This window comes from Homo sapiens, chromosome 2 (assembly GCF_000001405.40).
Source record: "Homo sapiens chromosome 2, GRCh38.p14 Primary Assembly".
NCBI classification, from domain to species: domain Eukaryota; kingdom Metazoa; phylum Chordata; class Mammalia; order Primates; family Hominidae; genus Homo; species Homo sapiens.
The window spans coordinates 165158572-165170709 of record NC_000002.12 but is presented as its reverse complement, the minus strand read 5'-3'; the positions used below and the strand labels follow the sequence as shown (position 1 = coordinate 165170709).

The following is a 12138-nucleotide window of genomic DNA, read 5'->3' as shown; positions in this document are numbered from 1 at the left end:
ATTTAAACATCTAACATGTTTGTAGTTATGATATATCAACTGGTTTAAACAAACAAGTTTGAACAAACAAATTCTATTTTTTAAAAAGTTCTTCATGTATGTAAGCTCTTTAAATAAGCCCATGTCTAATTTAGTAATTTTACTCGTATTTTCTTTTTCAGACTTTTATAGTAATGAATAAAGGAAAGGCAATTTTCCGATTCAGTGCCACCTCTGCCTTGTATATTTTAACTCCACTAAACCCTGTTAGGAAAATTGCTATCAAGATTTTGGTACATTCATATCCTTTTAATGTGAATTGCCTAAATGCTATTTCTAACAGTTGATTTTAAAGAAAATGTCAGTTATATTTTCAAGTATCTGTAAAATTTCTTTGAGATTAATGGTAACATTGTTAGTTTAATTCATTTATTTGCATTGGTTTTCCACTATTTATAATGAGAGTATTATAGAATGACTACAGCATTATAGAAGAAAATATGTAACCAACCATGATAGTGAATGTGCAAAGGAAACACATAGTAGGAAAAAGAGCAAATCTCCTTACACCTTTATCAGCTTCAATGAGGTCATATATAACCATTGCTAAAGATTAGATTATGGTTAGTATTACTATTTGCATTACCAAGTGTTCAAACTTTTACGCCTTAATTGTTTCTGTATCTTCAGCGCCTGGATTTATCCTTCTTTGTGTCCTTCCTTCCTTCTTTCTGTCCTTCCTGTCTTCTTCCCTTCCTTCATTCTTCCCTTTTCCCTTCCGTCTTATTCCCTTCTTTTTTTCAGTAAATATTTATCAGACTCTTACTATGTGCTCATGTACCTGGTTGAGAATATGTATCAAAAAGTCGAACTTGAAATTATTTACAATGTTAGTCAAAAAGCATATGTAAAAGGGCAGAATATGTTTGGATTTCAAGAAAATTCTCAAGTAATGATAAAATAGAATGGTGATTTTCTGAGGCAGTGTTCAAGAATGGGAATTTTGTATAGGCAGATTCAAAGCAGGCTTCTATATAAACTTAAAGACTGATTCACCTAGAGACAGGGCAAATGAAACTGATAACCTTTTGAGGTATGAATTCTCTCATTCTATGGCTTGATGTTGGAAAGTATTTATATTCTAAAATAAAATATTTATCTCAAAATAATCATAAACTTTCTTACAGGGAAGTCTGGACTTAGATCCCAAGAGAACGTACTACAGCTAATTCTCAGAAGAGCATCAGAATAGTGCTATCTGTTTAGGTATAATGTGGACTAGATACAAGAGTATAGCCAGATGGTCTGTTGGGGTCCGCCACAATCTAAAGTGTAAATAAAAAGCTAGAAAATAACATTACCTTATCAGCACAAAATTGGATCTCCCTCTTTTATGCTATAAATTGTAAAGGAGTAAGTTACATCACTACAAACCTACTATTTATGATAGAATTCTCAATCAATGTAATCTTTGATTATACTGGGCTCTACATTCTCACACTTTTTACATTGCATTCGTTAACGTTTTATAAGTCAGTGAGGATGAATATATCTGAAGTACACCTTTTACACTTATGGCATACTATAAACTTACTAAGGGATGGTGAGTTCTTCTTCCAGGGCAATTTCACACAACTGATTGGAATGCAAAATAACTTGCATTTGCTTCAAATAGAGATCATTTTTCTATTAAATTCAGTTTTGTGAGTATATGGTATAAAATGAAAAAAAGAGTGCACCAAGGCCATATCACAGGCTTTGAAGTTTCTTATTATTTTATCATTGTTTTAAAACAAATAATATTAATTTCACAGTTTTTGCATCGATAAACTTTTTTGTGTGTTTTGGATCATTTATAAATGGCCATGGTAACCTACTAACATTTATTCCTTAACTATAATCTACTTTATTCAGCATGCTTATCATGTGCACTATTTTGACCAACTGTGTATTTATGACCTTGAGCAACCCTCCTGACTGGACAAAGAATGTAGAGTAAGTAGGAATAACTTCTGGGAATGAGAAATGCACACTCAAATTCTCTAGCAATCTCCTTGTGGGTATAGCCTGACTTATGGTTTCCACTTCTGTCTAAGAAAAAGTTATTTTCATAATATGAAAGAAGATAAGGGAAGTTCTTTGGGGGAGCTATTCTTCTACGAGGTAAGTATTTTTCCAACAAAATCATGACAATATCTGTTAAAGAGAGGTTATAAATTAGTATATGCTTTCTGGTAAACTAAACCAATCACCTAGCCTAAAATTAGGTCTCAATCATGGTTAATCATTTGAGATAAAATACAGTGATCAGTTCAGTAATTTGATGAATTAAATTATTTTATTCCAGTATATAGTGATTATTGTTATATTCGAATAGAATAGATTTAGGTTTTTAGCTCTAAATTAAGTAGATGTCTTAATTATACATCTAAGATGTCTAAGTTATATTTAGATATGTAAGTTTTTTATACACAACATGTGTGCTGAAACAGCTTAGATGTGTTCTGTAAAAGAAATAAAATGTCTTCCATAAAACTGTGTTCATAAAATAACAGGGCTTAGGGGAAACATGATTGGGGGAGAGTAAAACTTATGGAACTTTGTAACTAGAATACAACATAGAAACCATAATAATCCCAATAAAAAGACACTTGCCCAGTTGATTCTTTTCTAATGTTTGTACCTAAAATCATAGCCATTGAGTTCTTTGTGGCCTCATATCCCAGGCCTCATCCTTTCTCCCTTGAAATGGAGACTGGGGATATTTGTATGATTTCATCAAAATAAAATGCTTCATTCTGTATTTTAATACATGGAGAAAGGTCTAAGCACATTAGTTGTTCAGGATGTTAAACCAGGCCCTTGTTGCACTAAAAGAAAACACTTCTGTGGATGTTGTGTATTAGTATCAAGATCTTTTTATTATTATTATTGCAAGGGATTTTCCATTTAAGTGTGAGAAAAAATGCCCTTCATTGTTTCAAAACATCAATATGCTGGGGAAAACTGTGCATGAACTAACACAATTTCTTTATCGTAACAACATTATTTCATTTTCTTATTTTTCAGTCACATATGAGGTTATTTGCATCAAAGAAACATAGTTTTTAGTGAAACAAAGTGGTTATATAGGCTACTTATATATAGTATAATACAATAATCAGGTATCTGACTGGTTAAGTAAAAAATGCAGTATGCTCTTTTTATTGTTATATTTTTAAAAGTAATGTACAATCGGAGATAAGATAGTGTAACAAATACTGCCACTTTTAGTTCCGTTTTTATAGATTTCTCTGAGGATTTACTGTACCACTCTAAGCCATTATTTGTCAGTTATTTAACATGTTATTTAAAAAAAAATAGTAGCTTCAAAATGCTGCCTAGAAATTATTGTAATAGAGAATCCAGCTCCCATATTGAGGAAAGCCATTTAACTTAGAACTCTCATTTACTATACATGATTTTGGAGTTAACAAAATGGACACTCCTATGTAAGACTACTCTGTATGTGGTTTTCCCAGCAGAAATTATTGAAGCATTTAAACATGTATCAATTTCATTTATTTGTATAACATTATTAAAAGATAGTTAAAGAAGGCAGTTGGAGTTTGTGACCAGCCTGGCCAACATGGTGAAACCCCATCTCTACTAAAAATACAAACAATGAGCCAGGTGTGGTGGCAAGCACCTGTAGTCCCAGCTACTCAGGAGGCTGAGACAAGAGAATCGCTTGAACCCAGGAGGTGGAGGTTGCAGTGAGCCAAGATCCCACCACTGCATTCCAGCCTGGACGACAGAGCGAAACTCTGTTTCAAAACAAAAAAAAAAGGCAATTGAATATACAGGCCTCTCTTTCTAAAGAAGCAGTAATAACTTAGAGATGATTATACCCATTATGAAGGCAGTCTTAGCTTTAGAAAGTTTTTGATTTGCATCATTCAGCTGGAAAACTTTGCTCAGGTTTTCTGATCAATTGTCTTCAGTAGCTTGAAAGCAAGCCAGCAGGAAAAAAGCAAAGTAGTAGTGGTTACTACCCCAAACCCTGGGTTCAGTGAAACAGAAGATAACTTAGTTCTGAGATGAAAACTGAAGTCACCGATATTTGAAACAGTCCCTGTACAAAGATGTGGCATACACAAAACCATATTATATAGTGAGGGGAATGTTATATAAGGCAAGGCACTTCTATAGACTGCATTTTATTTAATTTTATTTATACTGCATTTTATTTAAACCAATATACTTAAAATATGAAAATTCAACAATTAAGATTAGCCAAATTTCAAGGTTTTAAAACACCAAAGTTACAGGAACATAGACAGAATTGACAGCTTGATTATGAGCCTAGTGTGGGCATAGCCACGAAAGATAAAGGTCCCCTGACTCCCACTTACCTGCCCAACCTAGTTACTAATAACCATTTTTGAATACCTATTCTGTGTAGAGCTCTGTCTCAGTAGGCTCTAGGACTCTCTTCCATGGACAGCCATGAACACTTCCCATACATTCCAAATGTACCCACATATTTTCTTAATTTCCCCAAATCAAGAACAAAAGTAGGGACTTTAATCTTATTCCTAGTAACTCTATAGATAAGACAGAATTGCCTCAGCATAAACCACAGGGCACTAACCACTAATACAAGAAACAGAACATACATGTGTGGTGTTTCTAGGCCTTTAAAAGGCCAGCTATCTCTACAGACAGAAATATCACGGTGATTATGTGTGTCACACAACGATCCAAACTACAACACAGTAAACATAAGCTTGATATTGTAAAATATATCTCTTCCTAATAGTCAGCTACTTCATATAAGTAAAGATAGGAATTATTGCTTATGAGATCAATTGAATTGTTGGGGGAGAAAAGGAAGGGAATGTACTTAAGAAAACTAGACTTGAAGATATCTGCATAAATTATTCTTGATGTCTTTGTTCCCTCATATGAAAGAAACTTGTGCAGAAAACATTTCAAAATAATGATCCTAACATTTTTCATATATAAATACTGGTAGGCTGAAAAATCTAATGAATTTAATATGAGTAAATCAAATCTTTGTGGCTTGGGTGAAGTGCTCTGAAAAATAAACTTAAATTGTGCTTTTAAAGAACACAATGTTGAAAAACAAGTACTCTCAACTATTTTGGGAAAAAAACGAAAACAGCAATAACTTATATTGTCAAGACTCAAAGAAAAGAGGGCTAGAAATACATGACATTAAACAGCAAATAGAAAAGTCTTCCACCATTTTGGAGGCTGAAAATTGAATTTAAGCAAGGTTTGAATGATTTAGCCCAATTGCATAGAGATAGTAGCTGATGCAAGGTTTGATTTAAGAATTTTGTGTATCCGTGTATTTTGGCATTTGTGCAAACACACACATATAAAATACTAGTGAACTGGAACATTTCATATGATAATATATACACACACACACACATCTCTATACAGCATGCTCATGCACACACACACACATACACTCAGGGTGGGAGGAAGGAGGGCAGAGAGAGAGAAAGAAGAGAGAGAAATGGGGGGCAGTTTATAACTCTACATGATTCTTAAAAATTGAAAAAAAAGAAATATATTTTCTATGGTAGACATGTAAACTAGCCCTCAAAATGAGTCTACTCATTAAGAAATTTGAATAAAATATTTTATTATTTAAGTAAATGAATCCAAGCTATGTTGCCTCTAAAGTTGTACTGTCTGATGAGGAAGCCACTAGCCACATATGGCTATGGAACCTTGAAATTTGGCTAATATTAATTGTTGAATTTTCATATTTTAGATATATTGGTTTAAATAAAATGCAGTATAAAAAATACGTTGACTTGCTTCTTCTCATCTTTTCGCTTGCTACTAGGAATTTGAAAATTACATTTGTGGCTTCCATTACATTTCTATCAGATACTGCTGCGCTAGAAGGTCAAACTAGATGATTATCCATAAGATACATGAAACTATTATTCTAAAACCCAAATAGTTAAACCAGATTAGATTCCTAAAGAATATATTTTCTCTTCAGTTTAACTCTTTGCTCAGGCTTGTAAAACTAACTAAATGAATAGATTATTTGGTAAATAGAAGTAAGGAACAATATTTTAATGAATTGAAAAACCACAAAAGGATAGGATTTGCTATGATTGAAAACATTTATTTTAACAGTTCAAGCAAAATTGTTAATTTTGGCTTGGATGTTTTTCCTAGGTACACATTCACTGGAATCTATACCTTTGAGTCACTTATAAAAATCTTGGCAAGAGGGTTTTGCTTAGAAGATTTTACGTTTCTTCGTGATCCATGGAACTGGCTGGATTTCAGTGTCATTGTGATGGCGTGAGTAACTTTGAAAATTTGATAAGCGCAAAGGAGTGAAAATAGTCATAGTACAAACAAGGTCTTTGTGTCATATATTAAATGTAGAGCTTTCTTGTTAGTCAAGTTAACTATATGGATTGTGTATTTTAAGAATACATATTAGAATACATATTGCAATGTAAATATATCCAGTAAATGATCAATAAATGGGGTTATCTTCATGTCATATAGTCTTTCTCTTCATCAAAATGAAGTTATTCATTGACTACAATTTAATAGCAACAACTGTACTTGGATTAGTTTTGCAAACAAATGTGTTCATATTAGTGAAAATTACATTGAAATAAAGCAACACGATTTTGTTTCTTAAAAGCAACCTTTAGCATATGGCAGCCTGAGGTCTATAGCAATTCCATTTGTTAAACTCACAGGGCTCTATGTGCCAAACCCAGCATTAAGTCCTTATTTAGTATAAACTTTGCCAAAACTATCAGTAACTCTGATTTAATTCTGCAGGTATGTAACAGAATTTGTAAGCCTAGGCAATGTTTCAGCCCTTCGAACTTTCAGAGTCTTGAGAGCTCTGAAAACTATTTCTGTAATTCCAGGTAAGAAGAAACTGGTGTAAGGTAGTAGGCCCCTTATATCTCCAACTTTTCTTGTGTGTTATTGTGTTTGTGTGTGAACTCCCCTATTACAGATATGTGACAGAGTTTGTGGACCTGGGCAATGTCTCAGCGTTGAGAACATTCAGAGTTCTCCGAGCACTGAAAACAATTTCAGTCATTCCAGGTGAGAGCTAGGTTAAACACCGAGGTTGACTTTAATTATTGAGTTTGAAATCAATTTATATGACTTACAGCATTAGCCTTGTTGCTTATTATTACAGTTCATCCCGTTAAATAATGCCAAATGATGTTTCAATGTCAGTTTAGCTCCTAAAATTTTATAAATTACATGCGTATTTATAAAGTCAGCCTTTGAGTTTAACAGAAAATTGCATGAGACATCTTCAAAAAATGCTAATTTGGGCCTCTTGCGCTCTCTCTCTCTCTTTTTCACTACCATGGCTTTACTAACAGATTTGGATTTTACCATTCGCTGCAGATGTAGTTCAAAAATGGATCTCCTTTTACAAAGGAGAAAATATTATTGTTGAAGAGCATGTATATGGCATGAGACATGAGACTTACATTATTTTAAAATTCTTTTCTCCTCTAAATTACTACTGCTTGGAGGCTAGAGTAAAGAATGGATTGGTGGAAAATGGCTGCATGAAACACAAAATCTGAAATGAAAAATAACTCCAAGTTTTTTTGTATGTTTGTTCAGCATGTAAAACCACACAAACAAAACTTCCTGACTAGATATTTAAACCTTCATATTGAATTTCCAGCAAGCACACTGTTCATGTGTAAAATCTGCTGTTCATCTATTTCCCAAATCATCAGGCTATCCATACAGCTTTGGTGTCTAAATAGTCAAGCAATCATTTATGGGGGAAAGAGAATGTGTGTGACTATTAAGAAATCATGATTTCTGGCACTCTTCCTCAGGTAACCTATAGTTCTCTCTCTGCAGGTTTAAAGACCATTGTGGGGGCCCTGATCCAGTCGGTAAAGAAGCTTTCTGATGTGATGATCCTGACTGTGTTCTGTCTGAGCGTGTTTGCTCTCATTGGGCTGCAGCTGTTCATGGGCAATCTGAGGAATAAATGTTTGCAGTGGCCCCCAAGCGATTCTGCTTTTGAAACCAACACCACTTCCTACTTTAATGGCACAATGGATTCAAATGGGACATTTGTTAATGTAACAATGAGCACATTTAACTGGAAGGATTACATTGGAGATGACAGTAAGAAGTATTACATTATGTTAACCTTAGTGTTGCTGAATGAATTTTCAACTATAAATAGTTGAGACTGTGGGTGTACAGCCACCTTTGTAAATAACTGAAATAGTCCAACTCTGATTTATTACTAATACTAATGTGAATAGGATTAATATGAAATAAAATGGGTTTTTTTTTGTATTAACAGGTCACTTTTATGTTTTGGATGGGCAAAAAGACCCTTTACTCTGTGGAAATGGCTCAGATGCAGGGTAAGAAACATAATATATTTTTTAAGATATAGAACTCTTTGCGAAAAAAAAAAGTAGGTAGGAAAACAACTACATGGTTATATGTGTAGCCTTACCATGTATGCAATAAAGAGCAGTGCTGCTCCCCTAGGAAGTGCCTTGTCTGCCTTACCGGATTGCCACTGGTCCTAAACTCACAGCAATTAAAAATTATCCCTTTGTGAAGACCTTTCCCCAAAATTTCACAGTTAAGATGTTCTTAAATTGATGCTCCAATGTGTGAAGGCCCAGAGTCTGTCTTTGCTGTACATCTATCAGAGCTGTTAGGAAACACAGGAACACAAGATGGGCCCCTTTTTATTGGTGTACATATGTATCAATGGGATGAGTTTTGTCGTGACTGGAAAAGACCCAGACTATAATGTGGTCTTCAGGGTGGAAGCACACTTGGGGAAGTGCTTTGAAATATTTAAGTATTCTTGAAGGAGCATGTATTTCTGTATACAAAGAAGCCAAGGGTGCATGTGTGCCAAAGGCATGTCCAAGTATCAGTTGACATAATGAATAGTTCTTTTAGGCCACACGTTACAACAAAAGATGCCATAATATCTTAGTCATGCTGTTATTCTCTAACCCTTAAATATTTTCCTAAGAGTATTGTAAGTTAATTTTAAATCAAAATAGGGAATTTTTTAAGAGCTGAGAGATAGCAATAGTAAGTGACTCTTAGGACACGGAACTTAAATATATTTTGAGTCATCCTTTAAAAAGGGAAACTGGTGTAGCCATAAAAATCTAAGAGAGTTAATGAAAATGTATACTAGTCATATAAATAGAGCTTTGGGGAATTTTTTTTCCTGACAGTTTTCCTAGCCTTATTATGAATGTAGGGGGTAAGAGCATAGGTTGTAGAGTTCATGTATACCAGGGTTCAAATCCTAACTTCACCACTTGTAAGCTCTTTGACCTTGGAAAAGTGTCCTAAGCTCTCTGTACCTTAGTTTACTCATCGTTAAAATGGAGAGAGTAATATTCTGTCCCTTTAATAGTTGTGATGATTAATGATTTAATACACATAAAGTATTTGAACTATCACATGGACAATTGTAAGAATTTATTGTATGTACCAGCCTAAGCAACAAAGCAAGACCCTACCTCTACAAAACAAAAAAAAAAAAAAAAAAAAAAAAAGAAAGAAAGAAAAAAAAGAAAAGAAAAGAAGAAGAAAAAAAGAAAAACTTAGCCAGGCATTGTGATGCACACGTGTAGTCCTAACTTCTCAGGGGGCTAAAGTAGAAGGATTGCTTGAGCCTAGGAATTCCAAGCCACAGTGAGCTATGATCATGCCACTGCACTCCAGCCTAGGTGATAGGCTGTCTCTGAAAAATGGCTGGGAGCGGTGGCTCACACCTGTAATCCCAGCACTTTGGGAAGCAGAGGCAGGGGGATTACTTGAGGCCAGGAGATCTAGACCAGCCTGGCCAACATGGCGAAACCTTGTCTCTACTACAAAATGCAAAAATTAGCTGGGTGTGGTGGGGCACACCTGTATCTCAGCTACTCTGGAGGCTGAGGCACAATAATCTCTTAAACGTGAAAGATGGAGGTAGCAGTGAGCTGAGATGGCACCACTACACTCCAGCCTGGATGACAAAGCGAGACCCTGTCCCCCCAAAAAATTTTTTTAATAAATTTAAAAAAAAAGCACACTCTAAAAAAAGAAAAGAATTTATTGCCTATTAACTATTATTTATTATGATGATGATTAACATAAAAGCCCAGATAAAATTTTGGATAAATTTGGTTAATACATACTTTATTCCTATTAAACCATAATAATCTATTCCCCTTAATGAATTCCTATTATGGCTTAAGTAATTTACATCAACAGTCCCCAGCCTTTTTGGCACCAGGGACTGTTTTGTGGAAGACAATTTTTCCACCGACCAAGGGTGGTGGTGGGAAATGATTTCAGGATGATTCAAGCACGTTACATTTATTGTGTACATTATTTATATTATTAGCATACTGTAATATATAATGAAATAATTGTACAAGTCACCATAATGTAGAATCAGTGGGAGCCTGATCTCAAATGATTCACCTGCCTCGGCCTCCCAAAGTGCTGGGGATTACAGGCATGAGCCACTGCGCCTGGCCATTGGTGATGAGATTTTTGTTTTTGTTTTTGTTTTTTTTTGAGACGGAGTTTAGCTCTGTCGCCCAGGCTGGAGTGCAGTGGCGCGATCTCGGCTCACTGCAAGTTCCGCCTCCCGGGTTCAAGCTATTCTCCTGCCTCAGCCTCCCGAGTAGCTGGGACCACAGGCGCCCGCCACCACGCCCGGCTAATTTTGTATTCTTAATAGATACCAGGTTTCACCATGTTAGCCAGGATGGTCTCAATCTCCTGACCTCGTGATCCGCCCGCCTCGGCCTCCCAAAGTGCTGGGATTACAGGAGTGAGCCAGGTGATGAGTTTTAAATACAAAACCATTTTGTATTTAAGCGGCACATTCCATTAAAGAAATAAATGATTTGTATTTTATTAAAATTAAAAGCTGCTGTTTTACAAAGATATTCTTAAGAGAATGAAAAGACAAACCAGCAACTGGAAGACAATATTTGCAAAGCACATATCTGATTTAAAAAAAAAAAAAAAAAGACTGGGGCTAGGTGAAGTAGCTCATTCCTGTAATCCAGCACTTTGGGAAGCTGAGAGGGGAAGATCATTTGAGCCCAAGAGTTTGAGACTGGCCTGGGCAGCATAGGGAGACACTGTTTCTCCAAAAAATAAAAATAAAAAAATTAGCCAGGCATGGTGTAGTGTATCTGTGGTACCAGCTACTCAGGAGGCTGAGGCAGAAGGATTACTTGAGCCTGGGAGGTCGAGGCTGCAGTGAGCCATGATCAGACCACTGCACTATAGCCTGGGCAACAGAATTATACCCTGTCTCAAAAGAAAACAAAACAAAACAAAACAACAAACCAGTGTCCAGAATATCTAAAGAACTCTTAAAACTCAACAATAAGAAAACAAATGACCCAATTTAAAACTGGCAAAAGATCTGAACAGATACCCCACACGAGTATATAGTACAGGTGGTTATTAAGGAGGTAAAAAGGCACTCGACATCATTTGTCATTAGGGAATTGCAAACTAAAACAACAAGGAGTTACCACTGCACATCTGTTAGAATGACTGAAAAATGTATCTGGCAATACCAACTTCTGATGAGGATGCAGAATAACAGGAACTCTTGCTTATTGCTGGTGGGAATGCAAAACTAGACAACCGCCTTGGAAGACAGTTTGGCGGTTTCTTACAAAATAAACATAGTCTTACCATATGATCCAACAACTGCACTTCTAGGTATTTAGCTGATCAATTTGAAAACTTATGTCTTCACAAAAAACCTGCATGTGAATATTTATAGCAGCTGTATTCATAATGACCCCAAACTGGAAGTAACCAAGATGCCCTTCAATGACCCCAAACTGGAAGCAACCAAGATGTCCTTCAATAGTTGTATAGATAAATAAATTGTTATGCCCATACAATAAAATATTACTGAGTGATTAAAAAGAAATGAGCTATCAAGATACAAACAAATATTAATGAATATTAAATGCACATTTCTAAGTGAGAAAAAGCCAACCTCAAAAAGCTACATACTGTATGATTTCAATTACCTGACATTCTAGAAAACACAAAGCAACAGAGATGATAAGAAAATAGTGTTTTCCAGGGGTTCATGGT

General features: G+C 35.1%; 1 protein-coding gene across 12 annotated transcripts in view; it reads left to right on the top strand.

Annotated features, from left to right (window-relative positions):
• SCN3A (sodium voltage-gated channel alpha subunit 3) overlaps positions 1 to 12138 on the top strand; it is a 116525-nt gene that overhangs the window by 33341 nt on the left and 71046 nt on the right. For 9 of the 12 annotated variants that reach the window (NM_001081676.2, XM_017004662.3, XM_017004661.3 and 6 more), the window contains 6 exons: positions 162 to 280; positions 1885 to 1974; positions 6190 to 6318; positions 7001 to 7092; positions 7882 to 8154; positions 8339 to 8402. In NM_001081676.2, coding sequence (NP_001075145.1) covers positions 162 to 280; positions 1885 to 1974; positions 6190 to 6318; positions 7001 to 7092; positions 7882 to 8154; positions 8339 to 8402 — 767 coding nt within the window. Of the gene's footprint in view, positions 1 to 161; positions 281 to 1884; positions 1975 to 6189; positions 6319 to 6816; positions 6909 to 7000; positions 7093 to 7881; positions 8155 to 8338; positions 8403 to 12138 lie in introns of all 12 variants that reach the window. The other 3 variants (NM_001081677.2, XM_047445394.1, XM_017004660.3) reach the window with 1 other exon arrangement.